General features: G+C 37.5%; 1 protein-coding gene across 2 annotated transcripts in view; it reads left to right on the top strand.

Moving 5' to 3' along the window:
- The window catches only part of THSD7B (thrombospondin type 1 domain containing 7B), a 912,174-nt gene that overhangs the window by 399,376 nt on the left and 491,101 nt on the right, over positions 1–21,697 (top strand). For both annotated transcript variants that reach the window (NM_001316349.2, XM_047445935.1), the window contains exon 7: positions 5,821–6,018. In NM_001316349.2, the coding sequence (NP_001303278.1) occupies positions 5,821–6,018 (198 nt within the window). The remainder of the gene's footprint in view (positions 1–5,820; positions 6,019–21,697) is intronic.

The raw sequence follows: 21,697 nt of genomic DNA on the forward strand, positions 1-21,697 counted from the left end.
CTAATGTAAATGACGAGTTAATGGGTGCAGCCCACCAACATGTCACATGTATACATATGTAACAAACCTGCAAGTTGTGTACATGTACCCTAGAACCTAAAGTATAATAAAAAAAAAGAAAGAGTGAAAGAAAAGTGCTGAAGGAGAGGATGGAGGCAGTAGAACCTCTCACCTGAAGGTGGTACTGTCCCCACAGCCTCCTGCAGAGTTTAGGGACATGTTGAGATTGATGAGAATTAGCCGTTTTTTAATAGAACCCATTCTGTGGCTGAATGGCTGCCTCCTGAACTGTAGTCACTGACAGGAGGGATGGTAAGCCCTGATGATTGTTATTCAGGTCTAGGAGTTTGGTATTTTATAAATGCTCCCCTAGAGCAGAGAGAATTTTGGTTTGTAAGGTCTTGTTAAAACCTGCCAGGACCACCTGCCTATATTCCCTCTTGGGAAGAATGAAGAATAGAGTTTTCCCTCTAGGGAAATGATTCTGTTCCTTCAAGGTATCCAAGCATGTTATGATGACAGCAAGTAGTCTTGTTATTTCTACTGACTTGTGTGTATTAGGTCTGAGATCCCCCTCAGTCTTGGTGTCTGTCCCATGATTCTACTGTGAGTAGAATCATGGGAGTTCTGCCAGGATCACTGAGTGGTACAAACTAAAGATACTTCAGAATTCTACAGAAGCTGGGGTACACAGGCTAATGCATTAAACATTGCAAAACTCTGGGATATAAGCGGGAGTGTTTAGCTTCACATCTGAATTCTCTACTCTAAAATGCAGTGATTCCACTAGCAGAAATCTAGGATATTTATACTTTCCTAGATATTTCATACTCTTAAAAAATACACACACACACACACACACACGTGCATGCACACACATACACACAGAAAGATGGAGTATTTAAGAGAAAAGCAAGCAAACAACAGCAAAAAAAAATGAATGTGGAGAGTAGGAGAGAATATCATTTTTCTCCTCTCTAGGCTTTCCTAGTCATCGTGTTATTGCTCTGGTACATTTCCTTTGTTCACATTAAGAAAAAAAGTAGAAAGGAATGGGAAAGTAGGAAATGTTTTATTGCGGAATAGAAGAAATTAGTTACTATAGAAATTATCTTTACATGACTTTTATTCTTAATCAGAAATCCTTCCATTAGGAATCATGGAAGGCTTGTGGCTGTTGGTTATTCAGAGTACATTAGAAAATCAGCCAGTGTTCACAGCCTTCACACCCTTCCATCGCGTCATGACAGGCAGACAAGGGAACCATGATCGGCAGGTTGGTGCTTGTCAAGTAAAGCTAGGATGCCTTTCAGAGGAATTTAAATTGGGTCAGGTTTTATCATTTATTGCTTTGTCTTTGATACACTCCCAGAGTGTTATAATTAGAGATATATAAGAGAATTAGCCTGAAAAAATAAATACTCTTAGACAAACTCTACACATAGATGTGATACATTTTAAAATTTTTTCTTGATATATAGACACACATTTATATGACATCCTTATCCTTTTCAGACATATACTAGAAAGGCAGAATTGCCCACTGAAGTTGTTCTAAAGAGGAATTTGCTGGAGGCTCCCTATAGAGTGTCACAACAGCCAGCTGCTTAGGTGGAAGGACTTCAGGGATTCCTTCCCTCAGTGAGAGCACCCAAGTCCTTAAAAATTCCCAAAGGACAAGATACTTTGAAACTGAGAAGCCATGACTCTTTTTTGAAGACAGTCTTTTATGCTCTTAAACAAATTAGATAACATGCTAAAGTTGGAAAATACTCTCATGTTTTAGATGTTACATACCAAAAATGGGGGATATTTCCATTTTCCATCCTTGTCTGCTAGATAGGCTTTCCCTTGAATGAGAAGTCTATAAAATCATTTTGCTTTCTCATAGATAGGAAATGCTAAGAGATAGTTGTTTCTTTTTTCTGTGTCTATGTGTTTGGGGTGGGTGGGGCGTTCTGTTAACTTCTCATTCTAAGCTTTGGGAGTTCTCATGCTGACTTCACCCTATCAGTGTGTCTTCTTAGTTTCTGGATTTACACCAGGCTGTGGACTAATAATGATACTATAAGATACTATCCCTGCAGGATGGTGGTTGATTTCTAAAGGGTTAGGATTGAAGCTTCAATATGCTCAGATTCTTTCACTCAGAGTTGTTACCCAAAGTTCAGGGCCGCCAGAGAGGAAGAGCAAATGAAGTACTTAAGACAGAATAAGCTTCTGTCCTGTTTGTTTAACCTGCTAGACTTTCTTTTTTATAATTTTTATTTTATTATTTATTTATTTATTTATTTATTTTCTGAGACAGAGTCTCACTCTGTCACCCAGGCTGGAGTGCAGTGGCGTGATCTCGTCTCACGGCAACCTCCACCTCCTGGGTTCAAGCAGTTCTGCCTCAGCCTCCTGAGTAGCTGGGATTACAGGCAGGTGCCACCCTGCCTGGCTAATTTTTTTGTATTTTTAGTAGAGATGGAGTTTTACCATATTGGCCAGGCTGGAACCTGCTGGACTTTCTTCACGCCTGTCCCAATGGAGTCGGTGTTGAGACATAACATTGCCTGTGGATAGCTCATGTGTACACTTCTGATCCACTAACTCATGCAGAAATACAGCCCTCAGATCTGGATATACCCTCCGGAGCCTCTTTTAATTCTTCCATGGCTTCAATTAAAAAACACTGACCCCTTTTCTGCCATCTGCTCGTCTTCCCTTTTCTCTCCCCAACCCACTGCCCATTCTTTTCTAATTATCTCCTGTAGAATTATACACTAAATATTAATTCTTGGAGTCATAGAAAAAAATAAACCCTGCAGATACTAGTTTCACTAAAGGTGAATTGAATCTGTGGTCAGGAAATGTTGATTATGGCTCTCCCCTGCTGTGCAGCATCTAAAATTCCACTGTCCAATCTACTCACCTTTAGTACCTTCAACTAAACCACGGTGCCTTTCAGGTTCACTTTATAAAGTGTGGCGAAAACACAATATCCACAGGAGCCGACTTTAATCTTTTCTTGTGAGGAGGCAATGACTCTGAAAGACTTCTGCTGATTTTCACACCCATCCATTTAATCAGTAATAATGCACCTTTGGAGAAGTAATAAAGTGGCATCTTAGTTTTCACACATGCAAAATGGGAATAGTAACTTATAACATAGTTTTGAGGCTTGATTCATTTAGAGTAATAAAGTTACTGTCCCAGTCTTGGTAAAGGGTGGATGTTAGTTTATGCATGTGCCTTTTTCCCTTGTTAGGTTTTATGCTTTGAGAAGAATACACATTTCTGGTTCCTCCTGTGGCTTCCCATAGTACAGGAAAGTGATGTGCAAATGACAGTTAATATTTATGGAATAATATCATCTGATTAATATGAAACTCAATAAATGAAAGTGATTGGTTGGCTGGCCCCCAACCACTATGGACTTGGCAATTGTCTATCTTTCAGAACAGAAGTACCTGGGAGATGCCTGATGTCTATTGCAGGCATGAACAGCGATGTGTGATTAAAGTTAAGTGCTAGCAAGAGAATCCAGGGTTTTTGTTTTATGCTGAGCTTGTGCTGTGGTTTGATCCTAGTTAGAGTCAGGACAAGGGCAGCACAAATGAAAGACTGAAGGAATTTATTGACTGAGGAGAGGTAATCTATAGATTTATGGCAAGATGGATGCAACTTGATTTATGGAGGAAAACTGAACATGCCCCTCAATGGCATTAAGCTCCAAATAATAGGACACCCAGAATCCTTCATAAAGACTTCTAAGTTTCTGTGCTCAAGTCTGGGCTAGTTGTCAAACAGTGTAAATCATGGTGACTCATGCCATGTCTTGCTCAAAGATAAAATCAAAACAAGCAAAAATATAAGACAATAAATAAGCAGCATGCAGATGTTACATATAAGAATAGAGGTCATTCGAGTTTTGTGGCAGTGAGAGCTCGTAGGTCATTGTAGTTTGATGCTCGTCAAGTGAAGTTTACAGCCGTGTATGCATCTCCTTTCAAGGTGGCTTAGGAAGCAATATGAGCCCTTCTGTAGATTTTATTTGGCTAGTTAATGATATAGACATGGAGGTATGGAGGTATAAAGCACGGCAGAAACCATTATTATTTTTTTTTTAACCGCTCTGATCTTAACCATGTCAATGCCATGAGAATATAGCCTCTGACTGGCTGAATGATTTCTTCCCAAGGTAGCTAATCCTTAAAGAGTCTAGGAGTCTCTTTTAAAGGGAGGTTCTGGGTTATCTTAGGAAAAAAAAAAAAAAAACTCAAAGCACTTAAAAATCCTTACCTAAAATTCTTGCCCAGCCCTGTACTTTGCTAAAATACTTAGTATTTTAGGTAAGGATTTTTAAGTGCTTTATTTGAGGTTTTTTTTTTTTTTTTAATCTAAGTTAACCCAGAACCTCTCTGTAGCTTTTTCTTGTTTCTCAAAACCACATGTTCATTGTGTTCTAGCCTCCTTGGCTGTGCTATTTAAGAGAGGTTGGTCTTTCTCCAACTATACCTTGAGGTGTGTAACTTTTTCATGAGAGAGATGTTACCTCTCATGCTCCCTAACTTGTCCTTCTCCCCTCCCCTTGTGGGAAGAGTGGTGGGATATGCAGCTTTCACTCTGGGAATTGAATGTTCTCTGTGCTATCAAACTCTCTCATTTTCTTTACTTACTCCGAGGAATAAATGAATAACAATTTCTTAAAATGTTATTCATGCAAAACTGTTGGTTTTGTTAAAAGAAAAAGGAATTAAAGGAATCTGTTGATTGAATTTGGAATAGAAACGATGGAAGGTATGAGATCCACAAAAGGTAGACGTAGCCTTTAGAAGTGGTATATCATGGGGGCCAGAGATTGAAAATTTACACTAAAGGGTTCAATCTGGTTCTCAGTCCTTCTTTATTAGGTCACTTTGTTTTTTAAAAATTGTGCATTAGTTTTTATCATTTAAAAATAGAGGGATTTCTGGTTTCTTAGACAAAATGGAAGGATCTGTTAACAGAGGGTTCATGATCTCTAAGGCCAAGAGTCAACGGAAGCTGAATAGTAGTCAGGCATTTTAGAGCAGGCCCATTAACCCAAACACTCGCTGCAGTCTCATGGTTGACCCATTTGCCTCGATGTGTACCTGCTTGACTCCTGTTGATTTGCATTTGTGACTCTCTGGGCCCATAGCATGTAAAATACATCTATGTTCTTATTACAGTCTCTGGCTGGGACTTTGAGGCCCTAGTCCCACAGTACACTTTTTTTAAACATAATAACAATCATTGACCCATGTCTAGCCTGGGTGGAAAGTGAACTCCAAAGAGATATTGTCTTTATGAGGCAGACTGATGTGTAAACCTCAGTGACATGATGCAGATAAATCTCGGAGCAGGAAGTTGTGAATGGTCAGGCGCCATGGAGATGCCAGAGAGGTAATGTATTTTAACCGAATGCAGCGTAACAAGAATGTCAAAATCAACAGCAAAAAGAAAATGTGGATTAATCTATATTTAGATCATTTCTGAGTCTCCATTTATTTTTACTGGTTTATTGATACCATAGGACTTACGCTACTTATTATTCCATTGAATTATGTCTGACTTCTCCAACTCCTAGGTTGTAAACTCTTGGAAGACAGATTTCCTGCTTTTATTCTTTCCCATTCTCTTTTTTTTCTACATCTCATCCTCTCACTTCACATAGAATAAAACACATCAAGATAATACGTGCTTAGAGCGATGAGTACTTGAATAAAACTTTTCATCTCTCACCCAGCTGCTTCTTTTCCTTTCCTGGAAAAGAGTGGAATTCTCTGAAAATTCTTTTCTCTCTCTTTTTAGGATTTAGAACGAGGCAGCGCCATGTCCTCATGGAATCTACAGGGCCTGCAGGGCATTGCCCTCATTTGGTGGAGTCTGTTCCTTGTGAGGATCCAATGTGCTACCGATGGCTGGCATCAGAAGGGATCTGTTTCCCTGATCATGGAAAATGTGGCCTGGGACATCGTATTCTGAAGGCCGTCTGCCAGAATGACCGCGGTATGACCCAGTGACCCACTAGAGGTGTTAGGATGTTAAGTATCAGCCAAATAACACATGACCACCCTTCAATAGATCATTCTCATGAGGAAGAGAAGCACAGCCTTTCTTATCCTTGAATATTTATGTTTACATCGAGTGACACATTGCTGCAAAGTAAGGTGCCGTGACTTAATATGGGTCCACATACTCCATGACAGAACACTATTTGATTGTACTTAAATGCAATACAGCAAACCTAGAGATTTCTTAAGAGTTTTTAATTTGTCAAAAAAACAGAGAACAAATCTCTTGGATAGTGTTCAACTTATCAATATAAAACAAGTAAAAGCCAATGTATAACATGCCTTTATATATTATAAACAAATGTCATCTTGTTAAGAATCCAGGACTGAAACATCCTGCAAGTTAAAAAAAGAACCAAACAAAACTAGGTGGCTTTTTGTTTATATGACATTAGAGTTGAATCAGCTATAGACACAATACTAACATTTCCAAAGAACTGTTTTTAAATACAAGTTGTCAAGATTTACAAAACTATTAACAATGATGTCTTTCCTCAATCAGCAAGCACCTGGTAGGTTATTTGAAATGAAAGGTGATTCAGAAAACATGTGTCATGTGGAAATAAGAAAAGTGACATGTAAAACCTTGATCCTGAACTTGAAAAAAATTTCAGTACCTTGGAAGAATATCGTGTATATTTATTAATCAGCTCTGCCATGAGAAGCCCCACTTATAATGCTCATGATATGTGGAATGAAGCGTTTTGAACTTATGCAGCTAAGTAATCCATAGAACAGAAGTAAATCACAAAATAGATTCAGAGCACACAGGGTTGATATATATTGCAAAGCTTTTCATTCCTTTTTTTCTCTCTCCCTCCCTCCCTCTCTTCATCCTTTCTTCATTTCTTTTCAATCATTACCATAATTACACAGATATAGATTTTGTCAGGTGATGTAATTGGTTCCCTGTGGAAACCAGGTGATTATTTAATTAAAGGGCAATAACAGATTGTATTAGCTACAGCAGAGTTAAAACTAATAGCAACTCCTGTGAATATTAACATATAATTTTTGAATTGTGGTAACATATGTGCAATTTAGTAACAGATCACTTTCGTATTGCTTTTGTTTGTGTGATATTGTGTTTTCTAATAAGACGTATATTTTTTGGTCTTCGTCCCTGGCTCCTTATCACAGAGCTCCTAAAACCCTGGTTATTTCCTGAGATACAGGGGTGCTAGGAGAATCTTTTGTTTTCATAGTTGGTCTTTAATCGTGGTTCCTGACACAGCTCTTAAATCCCTTGGAATTTCCTGAGTGCAAGGCCTGCCTTATTCTAATGAAGTAATGCTTGGTGAGCTTCTGGATGGGAGATGATCACCAGAAAGACCAAACCATGATTAGAAGCTTAGGTATTTCAGTTCACCCACTGGAAACAAGAGAGGGGCTGGAGATTGGGTTAATTATTGATCCTACTTACATAAACACCTCTGAACTATGAGGTACAGAGAGCTTCTGGGCTGCTGGAAATGTGGCAGTGCTGAGAGGGTGGCAGATCCCAGCAAGGGGATGGAAGCCCTGCACTCTGTCCCCCATACCTTGCCCTGTGCATCTTTTCCTCATGAATCTCTTCTGGCTTTTCATGTATATTCTTTGTAATATCCTTTATGATAAACCAATACATGTAAAATGTTTCCCTGAGTTCTGTAATATGTCCTAGGAAATTATAGGACCTGAGGAAGGAGTTGTGGGAACCCCGATGTATAACCATGGGTCAGAAGCACAGGCGACAGTCTGGGACTTGAGACGGGCATCTGAAGTGAGCGGCAGTCTTGAAGGACTGAGACCATAACCTGTGGGATCTAATGCTAACTCCAAATAGATAGTGTTAGAGTTGAGTTAAATTGCAGGATGCCCAGGTGGTGTTGGAGAATTGTGTGGTTACAGAAGTGTTCTGTGTTGAGTTTGGAGTAAGAAGTGAAGTATGGAAGTTTAAAACATGAGCTCTAGAGTTAGATAGGTTGCAGTTTCAACTCTGCTACTCACCTGCTAGGTTGTCTCAGGAAATTTATTTAACTAGGAAGCATCCTTTCTTTCAGCTGCCAAGTGGGGTAATAAAACCTCCCTCTCACTCTTAAGACTGTGAGAGTTAAATTAGTTATATAACAATGATTAGTGAAGTGGCAATGATTTTTTGAATGGCATATAACCATTCCAAAAAGCCATAAACTTATTTTATGTATATTTTAAAGTACAATTATTATTCTACCCGGTCCTGAAGAATTGGTCGAAGAGCATTCTTTTAAAACATGAAAATAATAAGGAGGATTCGAATAGCCATAACTAATTCTTCCTCCCCAGCTCCAGCTAAGGAAACACAAAGATCATTGGTTTGGTTGGAACCCAGTGATAAATGACTCTCATGCTTTGTTATCTCACAGCAGATATTGGAGGGTTGTCATGATATCTCTGTCCACTTGGCTAGGAACTTCTTTCATAATTTATGCTGAGCCTTCTACAATCATCAGCTTTACTGTTTTACAGCAGTTTTAGAGCTTTCTTGCTTATTCCTGTGAAATGACTAATTTTCAGCTTTTGACCTACACACTGAACTTATGTGTGCAGAAGAGGGAATTAATATTTGTTCATATCAGCTCCGTGAAGTCTTTTTGGTTTTTAAATACCTGAATGACTCCCTCATCGTTTGTGGGGCAATGGCCATGGTCGTGGTTCTGGGAACATGCTTGGCCTCCTAGTGGCTGAAGCTGTCTTTTGTTCTGTGTGAAACTGAAAATGTGGTCTGGTTACACTTTTTGTGGTTCAGCTTCAGTGTGAATCTGGGTGATTGATGATAGAAGTTTGGCAGAGAAGTGCTCCTGTTTGACTCCTACATATTATCAGGTTTTTTCCATAACTACAGGAGTTGACAGAACTGTTGACATTAATTTAAATGCCTGGAGAATGACAGGTTTGAGATATACAGTGTCCTTTGATTTCCTTTTGTTTTTTTCTTTGTAACATTTGATATTTTCCTCCATCACTCTTGGTTTATTAATTGCTTCATAGACACTTTCTTTCAGAATTTGTTTTGAATTTAACAGATGAGACCAAAAGAAATACTTTATTTTTGATTTTTTAAAAAACCACTTACATTAGATCTACTCAGACTTGAGGCCTACCTTAATTTGTAAGGGTAACTTGGCTTGTTTACCATTTTTAGGCTTTTACATATGATCTCCTTCTAGATATCCTGCATATAGGTGTTTAGAAAGGAACATTCAACATCCCTGCCAAGTATCTATGTCCCATTCAAATTGTGGAACCATGAGATTTCTACATAAGCTTGACCAAGATTCTGTAGGGCTCTCGACAGTGTCTTGTTGGGTGTCCTTGTTAGCTGCTAGGAAGACATATTGCTCTTCCCCAGGAGTTTGTTTAGACCATTAGCTTACAAACTTCAAAAATATATAATCTATGTCACATTGAAACCAGGGAGTATATGGAAATAGCAATTTCTGATGTGCCTAAACTTTGTGGATTAGTTTAAGAATGTGGTCTACTTTGGGTTATCTTAGATTTGAGTAGTCATCTCTAATTCCTACAGCTATCTCTGCTTTGTTCCATTTTCTACTTTGATTTATTAGCAATACTATCAGTGCCACTGAAGCTCCTCTTTCTCCCTCAAGCCTGTAATTATAGCAAACATTATGTTAGTCAGTGATATTTATTTTCAAGAGGTAAATTGCTTAATAGATTGTATAAATGAGTGTTCTTATTTGGAATCTGATTTCCGAGTCTCTGATTGATGGAATAGCTTTGATTTCTGTCCTCTGCACAATATCTTATCAAATGTCAATAGACATTTACGGAGCGTTGAATATGCATAGGTTATTCTTGTCTCATTGACAAGTATGTTTCCTCATTTCAAAGTAGCACTTGAAATGTAAATGGAGTGAGATTCAAAAATGCAAGCCCAACATATTTCTCCCTTAGAATATCAAATTTACTCACTGCATTTTAAACATCAATTCTCAAACATATAACTGGTTCGTTATTGCCAGGTGTCACTGGTGATTGATCAAAGTTTACCACCAAGTGACATCTTCAAAAGCAAGTTGGAAAAACCCTCATAATGCCAGGCCAGTGGACAGTGTTCCCAGTGGCTGGCAAGTGACTACTATGTATCATCTTTCATGTGCCCACAATGCAAAGTGGGCAGAAGACTCCATGGGGTCATTGGATAAACACCTGTCTGCCTGCTGTAGCAGTCAGACCTGGAGCACTCACCCATAACTTTTGCCCCATAATTTGCCAAATAGGCTATCTTGAAAAAAAGTGTTTACATGTTTCAGCAAACATCTTCATTCAGGGATAATGCAACATACAATCTGCACTTCTAGAAGGCAAATGCCCACACTACTGAAGAGTGTAATAGATCACAAAGAACAAAGTTCACATGTTGAGAGGCATGGAGTTAGAGTTCTGCAGTGTTGCCAAAAACACTCCCTTGCATACAAGGTTTTTTTATTTTCACAGTTGCACTATGCATTTTCCATGCAAATATTTTTCTCAAGCTGTGTATATATTTGCACGGCACTAGGAATGATTTTGCATCATTAAAGTAGCTTTGCTTTTTATTTCAAGGATATTTTTCTAGGGGTCTTTGCCTTAAATCATTAACTGTGAACACTCCAAGAATGTTACCTTTAATCTTGGCTAAAATGGCATGTACTTGTAAGCTCTAACACTGTAAGTACTTTTTAAGGAGGACTTCAACTGGTGGAAATGTGTTAGAATAATCATTTACCTAAGTTGGATCAAATATTCTTTAAATGTTTTTACGTCTGTGATTGGAGTTGAAAGTTTTGTTTTGTTTGTTTGTTTTATTTTTAGATCTCAAAAATGTTCTTTGGCTTACCTGTGAGAGTAATGTCAGACTCCAGACTCCATTCAAATAAAAATTATTTTTTGGAATATTTTGCGATTCACCAGAATTCTAAAGAGAACTCCTTTTGTGTTGTCTTTATTTTTAAACTCTTCGATTATGTTGTATCTCGTGTTGTTAACAAATGCTGCTTTACTTCTGCTCTGTAAGTTTTTGCTTTTGCTTATAAGATATTCTAAATGCTATTTTAGTATAATATTTATTTTCTTGTATTTTAGGATGAAAGAAGAATAGATTATTCATCAGATATTTCTTTTTCACATAAGTATATTCCTTCAGTGAATCAACCTATTTAAAGAGATGCTATAAAATTCGAGCCACCTGAGGATATGTAGGCTCTAAAATAAAGTTAAAATGTGGATTTTCTAAAAGTTTTGAGAAATGGCAACTTGGTTAAAATAAATATGCGGTTTATTAAGATGTGCATTTTAGAAAGGATAATAGTAATCAGATTTTTCTTTTTTAAGAAAGTAACTATCATTTTTTCTTATGCTATCAATTTTTTATTTGTGTAGGAAGACTCCCACTTACCTTTATATAGGGACGAGAATCTTATCTTGCCAACATCTTGCCACCTGTTTGGAAGAATCGAAGAATGGGAGAATAAACATGGACATGCATTTGTATTAGCAATGCAGATTCAGAGAAATGGCCCTTTGGAATAGTCAGAAGTAATGGGTTGTAGCACACACCTTTGTTTCCTGCCCAGATCCCCTTGGCCATTTCCCATTTTTGTGGGTGTCAGCCTGAAATTCCAGCTGATATCACCTACATCTCTTTGCCTAAGAATTGTCTCTGTTCACTGCAGTCTTGCTAGGGAATTGGCAACCCCAGGGAGCAGTCTTCAACTATTGATTGAGAGTTGGTGATACACACCCAGCTTCTTTCTTCTCAGTTGAAATAGCCTGGAGGTGTATGTTTGAAGCTGTTTCCTTATTGATTACCTACTCTTTACCAGGCTCCTCCCTTTCCTGCCTCACTTCCCCACTTTGTGACTGGCTCCCTGGCATGGCTTCCCAATAAGTACTTGTCCGGGAATCTTTGTCACAGAGTTTCATTATGACACAGCTCAAACTAAGACAAAGATACTTGGAAAGATATTTAGTCAATCCATTCCTATAGGAGATACAAAATCCAATTCAAATCATACCATGTTGATGATAGTTTTTAAAGAATTACCTTTCAAAGCAGAAATGATATACTATCTCATGAGAGATCATTCAATATTTTGAACAACCCTCAGTCTTTATTCATTATTTGCCATTATTCAAAGGGCTTCAATATACTGCTTCTGTTTTCCCTATGAAAACATAAAACATATTATTGAATTCCATTTATTTTCCAGTTAGGCCATCTGGGTAACATACATCATCATCTTGAGTCTTGTTTTTCAACTATTGAGTCATGTGTGACTCTGGAGGGGGACTAGGTTACTCTTATTTTCATTTTTTAGTTGATTCCAGATTGTATTGGAATAGTTCTGAAAAAGAAAAAGACAAACAGACCTCTACTGGGTGTTAAGGTAATTACTTGTATAGGAAAATTGGGTCTGAAATGTTGGAGAGACATGGTGCTCTTATCTTGTTTCTTCTAGATCAGTGGTTCTAAAACTAGTAGGCATCAGAATCACCTGGTGGGCTTGTAAAAACACATGTTTCCAGCCCCTACCCCAGAGTTTCTGATTCAGTAGGGCTAGAATAGGGCTCAAGAACTTGTATTTCTGGCAAGTTCCCAGGTGATGCTGGTGTTGATCCAGGGACCAGACTTTGAAAAACACAGTTGTAAGCCAAAGAAGGACAATGGGCAGCTTCATAATGTTAGCATATAACAGAGAAGTAGGCTACAGCATGTCTTACAAGGCATGTCTTACACTTAGTTAGAATCAAGAATAGTATTGGTCCAGGCACAGTGGCTCACACCTGTAATTCCAGCACTTTGGGAGGTCAAGGTGGGCGGATCACTTGAGGTCAGGAGATTGAGACCATCCTGGACAATATGGTGAAACCCCATCTCTACTAAAAATACAGAAATTAGCTGGGCATGGCGGCACATGCCTGTAATCCCAGCTATTCGGGAGGCTGAGACAGGAGAATCGCTTGAACCTGGGAGGCGGAGGTTGCAGTGAGCCAAGATTGCGCCACTGTACTCCAGCCTGGTGACAAAGCTAAACTCCGTCTCAAAAAAAAAAAAAAAAAAAAAAAGTAGTAGTATTGGTCCTAATCTTGTTTCTTGTTTCCTGCTGCAGAAGTTATTCTTGAAATTCTTGAAATATTCCAGAAGCAAGCAGTGAGTAAATTTTTTTTTTTTTTGCTTCTTTATTGTTACCTATGAATTACTAAATGATCAAATAGTGGAAAGCAATAGTGTTCTCTTGCAGGAACAGAAGACACGCAATATGTGAGATGAGTTATTTAGGTTTAGAGGAGAGAATTTTCATTTCAGCAGGCTGTCTTTTGCAGACCACCAACTGGTAGCAGTTTGGTGTCAGTGTCCTTACCTAAGGAAATGTGGTGATGACAAATACATTGTATTAAATTTTGAAATGAACCTGACATTGCAGTTGGAAGTGTCAATAAGATCAGGCTGTGCTGTTCACGCTACAGGAATCAGACTGCAAGGGAGATTAAATTAGAAAGTTTTTGTAGCCAAGTTCCTCGTTCCCTTTCATTTAGTTGTCTTGCAGTGAAATTAAAGATGAAACTCTAATAATGTTTGGCAATGAGGGACTCCAAAAGAGAAAAATAGAGACTCATTCTAATCAGAGTTTCCCCATCCACATTTGACGTGAAGGTGGGAGTAGATGTAAACTGGTGAATCAATTTAAATGCTAAAGAGAGAGGAACTGCAATGCAGGTTTAAATATATTTACTGTATGTTGTCTCTATAAACAGGCATTGTATTTTGAATTACTTCCAATTTCCACCCTGCTGCATACGTAGACATTGCAAGATAGCTTTTGTCTTTTTTCTCCTTTAGAAAGGGGCCTAAATAAATGACTGTTCCCATCACTACTCCACCAGTGTTTCACAATCAGACTAAATGTAATCTGTTTTTTCCAGACTTTAATATTTAGAAATAGCTTAGAGCAAATTGCTTCCTGAGTTGTGCCTGTGTCTCTCATAGGAGTGCTGTCTCCTTTTTCTATCTCTTCTGAAATTCTTCTTAGGCAATCGACTTTCTGTTCCCATTCTATATGATTCAAGAAGCAAAATGAGTCATAGATTGTACTGATATTTCAAAATGTAGCTCATGTGATTAAATGGTCAACCCAACCTTTCAGTGAGAATTAATGTGAGATTGTCACCCTTGCTATCCTTTTCATCTTCCCCCCAGACATGTCCTAAGTTTTTCTATTCCCTATTGTATTCCACTGTAATGCGAATAACAGGGATTAGTTATAGCATTAGTCACAGGGACACAGTTTTGTTTTCACTTTCTGAAATGTATTTTAAAGTGGTATTTTGCTGTTTCATATGACCATTGGCTCATTACTCTTGACACATTTACCAGTTTTCCCTCTATGTAGACACAAAAAAAGTAATGAACATGGATAAAACACTTCTCCATTATGACAGAGTAATTTATACTGGTGGTATGGCCAGTATGACTAGAAAAGGAAAAGTAATCAGAGGTTTACACATTCTGTACCTGTTCAAATGTGTTCAGGAAATATAGTGGGGAAAAAAAAAAAGCCTTCCTAGAAAGGCCCTTCTACCCCATGCAAAATCAATAATTTTTTTTACTTAATCTTATAATCAAATATTTTTTGAATTACTAAATTAATGTATACATATACTTTAACTGATTCATGAGTCAGGAATTCATAGTGTGTAACCTTTTGTGCTCTGAAATTCCATAGCTCATAATCAGTGCTCCTTTACCTCTGTTACCTTGATGGTAATTTGCTTCCACAGTAAGAGTCATGTTGTTCCCCTGCCTGAGATGCTTATCCTCCTCTTCTTCTTTGGCTAATTCTTATTTATCCTTTAAAAACTTGAATTGGTGTCCTTCAAGAAACATTTTCTTCACTCTCACTCCAACTATTTTATGCTGGTCTAGAATCTCAAGTGAATATTATGTTTATCACCTGTGCAAGATTATTTGTCACAGCCATTAATGGTAATTTTATTTCCTTTATAGGTTATTGGTTCAGAAATGGGTAACGTTAAATTTATTTAGGTCAACAAGATATGAGAAGAGGGACTTGAACAAGGAAGGGTGTTGTTTTAATTGCTGCTGTGATCCATCTTATTATAACAGGATATGTAGCTTCAGGATAAAGGCATTACTGTGTACAGTAGGTCAGAGATGGAAAGATACTATGGGTCCTGGAAGATACTGTTGAGCCACTGAATCAACAGTGTGAGCACTGGCTGTTATGTGAGACAATATATTTCCTTACTGTTAAAGCCAGTTTCTATCAGAGTATTTAACAGTTGCTGCAGAAATCATTATAACTGATAGACTGCTCATCGTTTGTGTTATCATAACAGTTTGTGATTCAGTTATCAATGCCTTTACTGTATTATATTAAAATTATGTTTATTTCTCTGTTTCTGCCATTTGACTCAGCTTCTCAAGGGCACATACCTTGACTCATTTATCATTTTATTCTTGGCATGATACCAGAGTATCTGGTATATTAAGGTACACTCAATGTTTATAGAATTTGAAAGAGTTATTTCAATTGATTCACACAATAGGCCAATTGGGAACTATTGTTATTTTTTATTCCAAATTTACTGATGAGAAAATTGTAGGCAGAGATGTTGATAGTTTAAAGTCACTAAACTAGTAATTTCTGATACCAGAAGTTTGAACTTCAGTTGCAGGACTCCAAACCAGTGCTTATTCTGCTTTATGAATCTTGGTAAATGCATGTCACATGTACCAACTACATTGACCCTGCCCTGTACCAGACTATGCAATAACTTTCAATAGTTAAGATGTTATTTTTTGGTAAAGTCCAACTTGGCCTGAGATTTATTCTCAATGCAGCATTAGAGGCAATTGTGCCAACTCAGTGGGCTAGACTCATGAAACCTATTCCTAACCATACACTAAGCATGTTGCCTTTTCTTTCCTTAGTGTGAGCTAAGAGCAAGAGAGATCACCTGTACAACGAAAACATAAAGCCCACACACATTTCCCTCTGGCACAAAGTGAGTTTAAGTTAGATATATAGTACATACTTATCTGGTTTTCCCTGCAACTGTAATTCTAATCTTGATCACATTCAGACAGCTAAGCAGCATAGAATTTATTCATCAGAATGGATTGGAAGGAGAGAGAAGTAGAGTTTCTGAAAAAGGAGATATGTGAAATCACAAAGAAGATAGGAGACAGCTCTTTAGGGATAAACAGCTTTTCACTCCTTCATCGTAGAGATATTCCTAGAGGAGGGTGATAGTGGAGCTGCTAATAACACCATATTGAGATGAGTAAGTTTAGTAAAAAACAAGCAAAATTCGATACACCAAAGTGGTCTTTATTACATCAGAGTTCATTAAATATACTTAACTAAGGATTCTTTGAGAAGGAGAGGTAGTTATTTCTGTGTTGTTCCAGAAGGCAAATAGGTAGAAATAAAAAGATGACAGATGTTGGCCTAACATTAGAATACATGTTCCATTATAGCTGCCTAGCAATGGTGAGTAATGAGCTCAGTGTCACCAGAGGCATATTTACAGAGGCTGGGACCAGCTCTTAGGGTTTCTGCAGGGGAATCTCCTCAGTATCCTGCAAGTGAAGGTAGCTCTGTGGACCATCTGCTGCCACTTTGGACAGGACAATTTTGTATTTTTCCTCGTTGTCCTGCAATTAATGATATGTAGCATCTCTGGCACTCCCCCATGGATTGACAGTCATGTCCCCTCATCATCATGGCAAACAAAATGGACCACATAGTTTTTATTGTCCCCATAAGGCATGGTGATATTGCTCTTGGTAGAAAACCACAGGCAAGGAGATGTCTAGTTTTTCCCAAATTATCAAGATTATGTTTAATTACATAAATGATTTTAATTAATCAATTTTAATATTAAAATTTAAGTTAGAATGGATTAAGGAAATTAGCAGTATATTTTGAGTGCATTGTAATTAAAAGCTAAAATAAGATCAGGCTGCAAGTTTAAATTGGAAACTTCAGGTAAATAGAAAATTCACTTATCCAGAAGGGCCAATCAGCATCCTTATTTGTAAATAGGGTTTCTTTGTTTGTAAGGCGTCCCAGCAGGTATGAGAAGATAATATGAAAGGGAAAGTATAACTACCTCTTTAGAGAAATACTAAGGCATATGGGCATTTGTTTATTGAGACAAGTAGGACCCTGTGCTTTAGGAACTTGGCAGGGAGCACAGTCACAAAATCATTTCCATGCAATATTTATCACAGGCGCAGCTGAGAGAAACAGTGTATGTCCAGATATTCCGAAATCCTTCCCTGAATTAATTCTGACTGGAGAGAGCTGTGTGCCTGGAGAACATAATATTGACAACTTACAGAATTATTTTTACAGAAATGTTCACAGCTGTGATAGTGTATGAAGCTGCCTATAGTGTATGAAGCTGCCTATAGTGTATGAAGCTGCCTATAGTGTATGAAGTTATAAGACTCTTCACCATGAAACTCATTGTCATTTCTTCAAAAGGTATGAGATTTAGGGTCATTACCTTGTATGTTTCCGCATCCTGTATGAGAATCCGTAGGAGTAACACTGGTCAGTTCTAAATCAAACATACTCGCCCATCTCTTTGTAATAATATAGCTGCCAGCATAGGTTGAGTGCACCCTGAAAATTATACTGATGACCGGATTCCCAGATTGTCTCCTTCCTGGACTCATTTTACGTCCTTCCTTTCTTTCATATCATTTGAGTGTCATCGTGTATACTGTGTATCACTCCTAATTTCTCCACTTGCTAGGTGTGTGACTTTGAGAAAGTTACTGCTCTCTTTGGCATCTCAGTTTTGCTGTGAGAAATGGAAATTAGAATAGGACCTACATCATAAATTTGATATAGATGCTGATTTCATCTATGTCAAGTTCTTAAAACAGTTCCTGGCATGTGAATACTGCTGCAGAAATGTCAGCTCTTATCATTATTATAATTATCTTTCATTTTGTGTAAAAAAACTTACTTAAATACTTTATAGAATGAATTGGTGGTATCAGTTAGTGGAAATGACAACTGATTTCAGGCAATTGATTATCTCTCAGAGGCCTAGTTTCCAGACTTATGGTCGTAAGGATGCTATTTTGTAAAATTTTTGTTTTATTAACTCTTTTGTATTTTAAAATCTTTAGATTTACAGAAACATTGAAGAGTTGAGGAAACAGTACAGTGCGTTCCTTTGTATTCCCTGTGCACTGCCCCAATGTAAACATCTCACATAACCATAGTTCAATGATCACAAATTAGAAATTTAACACTGGTATAATATAGCTTGTTTTGAGGGTTAAAAAAGATAACATGAAGGCTTAATGGAAGATCTGGCAGCTATCTTGATTTTTCTGGAAGTTGCTCATATCTGCAAGAGTGGAGTGTCTGGTAATCTTCAGTCAATCCAGATGTTTGAAAGCATTATTTACAAATCATGATTGTAAAAAGTTAGAATATTTGAACTGGAAGGTGCAGGCATAGCCCACATTATAGTCTGAGATCACGTTCTTAAAAAGAATGACTTGTTTTTTTAATTAATTAAAGAAAATGCCTTAGTAATAGCACAATTTACTATAAATCCTGGCATATCCCTCTGGTAATAGGGAGGAAATTTTGTGGCCTCAGGCTCTGATAGTAACATGAGCCAAGCAGCTATGGGATGGGCCGTAATTATACCCAGTGTCAAAACAAGGGACCTAGGTATTGATGGATGTAGGCCTTTACATGCAATAGGAAAGAACATCTATGGAAAATCAATTTCTTTGTTGTGAAAAATGGCTCATTGTCATTTCTAACATTTTACTTTGGGCTGATTTCATTTTTAGTGTTCAAATTTGTTTATGTCATACAATAAGGATGAAAAATGCCTGTGTTCTCTAGCGGTTTTGATTAAAGATAATGGAACCTTCTGTTTATATACTACTTTCCACTTTCAAAATGCTTACTTTCACTTACATTATTTCATTTTACTCCTTATAACAGCCCTGCATGGTGGTCAGGCATTGGTGGTTCTCACAGTTCTGCAAGCTGGAAATCCAAGATCAAGGAAATAGCCAGGTTCAGTGTGTCTAGTGAGGAGTCCATCTCTCCTTCCAAGATGGTGCCTTTTTCCTGCATCTTCAGGAGAGAAGGGACACTGTGTCCTCGTATGGTGAAACGCAGAGGAGGGAAAAAGGGCTAAGCACTGTGAGAAACCTCTATTACAAGGGCCTTAGTCCCATGCAGGAGAGAGGAGCCCTCATAACAAAATCTCTTAATGGCCCCTCTTCTTAATATTATCACATTGGCCATTAAGTTTTAACTCATGAATTTTTGAGGGTACACATTCAAACCACAGCAGTGACTTACTCCCATTTTACAGCAGAGGAGATTGAAAATAAGGGAGGGTTAAGACATGCCTGTGATCACAAGACAAGTGTATTTACAAAGTCTGAGCTCCTGAATCCTAGGATTCTATGTGGAAACACAGTTGAGACAGCTACTATGAAATAATGAAATTTATATATCTAAAAATGTCTATCACTTATGCAATCTAGGGGAATTTTTTAAAATTCCACATGTACATATCCATATTCATATCAACTGTCTATATTTGTCTATATTGTCTATATGTCATATGTCTAAGTCTATATCTATATCTAGCTGCTTCTAACATTCTCATTCCTTAGACCAATATTTTGGGCAAGAGAAGAAAAGAAAGCCAGAGATCCAGAGGCAAGGCAAAAATAATAGAAAGCCCACTGTACTAGAAAACTATTCTTAAGGCATAGATGGGCCAAAACTAATTTGAAATTTGTTTGGAAGTGATAATAGGCATTTGGGAATATGAGGCTTCATTCTACTCTCCCAAAATGAAATTATTGGGAAAAGTTCTTTATTCTCTTTTGAATTATATATAGTTAGTTATAGTCACAGATGAATGACTTTTAGCTTTTTGTTTTGTTTTGTCATTCCCTCATTCTCTCAGGTATCACAACAAATAGTGGACAGCTACATTATGGAGAATAAAAATGGCATGCCTGATCAAAAGCTTTGGGTGGCCCCAAAAAGGAGCCCGAGAATTGGCAAACAGTTATCCAGAAGAGAATATATTTCATACAATAAAAGCAACATATTTATATAACTTATTAAAGAAAAAAATTTGTGTGGAGTCTCTAGCCACAGGGCTGACTGCAAAGTTATATCTCTAGTGCCTTTTTTTTTTCAACTTTTATTTTAGATTCTGGGGGTACATGTGCAGGTTTGTTACAAAGGTATATTGTGTGATGCTGATGTTTGGGGAACGATTGAATCCATCACCCAAGAAATGAGCATACTCCCCAATAGGTGGTTTTTCATCCATCCCTTGCCCCCTTTTATACTCTCCAGTATCTATTGTTCTCATATTTATGTTCATGTGTACTCATGTTTTAACTCCCACTGATAAGTGAGGATATGCAGTATTTGGTTTTCTGTTCCTGCTTTAGTTCACTTAGGATAATGGTCTCCAGAGCATCCATGTCACTGGAAAGGACATGATTTTGTCCTTTTATACGGCTGCATAGTATTCCATGATGTATACATACCGCATTTTTTAATGCAATCCACCTTTGATGGGCATCTAGGTTGATTCTATGTCTCTGCTATTGTGACTAGCTCTGCAGTGAACCTATGAGTTCATGTGTTTGTGGTAGAACAGTTTATTTTCCTTTGGCTATATACTCAGTAGTGAGATTGCAGGGTTGAATTGTGTTTCTGTTTTAAGTTCTTTGGGAAATCTCCAAACTGCTTTCCACAGGGACTGAACTCATTTACATTCCCACCAACAGTGTATAAGCATTCCCTTTTCTCTACGGCCTTGCCAGCATCTGTTGTTTTTTGACTTTTTAACAAAAGCCATTCTGACTAAGATGGTGTCTCATTGTGGTTTTGATTTGCATTTCTCTGATGATTAGTGATGTTGAGCATTTTTTCATGTTTGTTGTCCACTTGTATATCTTCTTTGGAGAAGTATCTGTTCATATCCTTTGCCTACTTTTTAGTGTGGTTATTTTGTTTTTGCTTGTTGATTTAAGTTCCTTGTTGATTTTGGATATTAGGCCTTTGTTGGATGCAGAGTTTGAAAATATTTCTTCCCATTCTATAGGATGTCTGTTTACTCCATCGATAGTTTTTCTTGCTGTGCAGAAGCTCTTTAATTTAATTAGGTTTCACTTGTCAATTTTTGTTTTTGTTGCAATTGCTTTTAAGGACCTAGCCATAAATTATTTGCCAAAGCCCGTGTTGTGAAGGGTATTTCCTAGGTTTTCTTCTAAGAATTTTGTAGTTTGAGGTCTTCTATTTCAGTCTTTATCTTGAGTTAATTTCTGTATATGGTGAAAGGTAAGGGTTCAGTTTTATTCTTCCGCAAATGGCTAGACAGTTATCCCAGCACCATTTATGGAATAGGGAGTCCTTTCCTTATTGCTTTATGGACTTTGGATGACTGTAGATGTGTGGCTTTATTTTTGAGTTCTCTGTTTTGTTCCATTGATCTTTTTGTCTGTGTTTGTACCCATACTATGTTGGTTTGATTACTGTTGTCTT

This window comes from Homo sapiens, chromosome 2 (genome assembly GCF_000001405.40).
Source record: "Homo sapiens chromosome 2, GRCh38.p14 Primary Assembly".
Taxonomy (NCBI): Eukaryota; Metazoa; Chordata; class Mammalia; order Primates; family Hominidae; genus Homo; species Homo sapiens.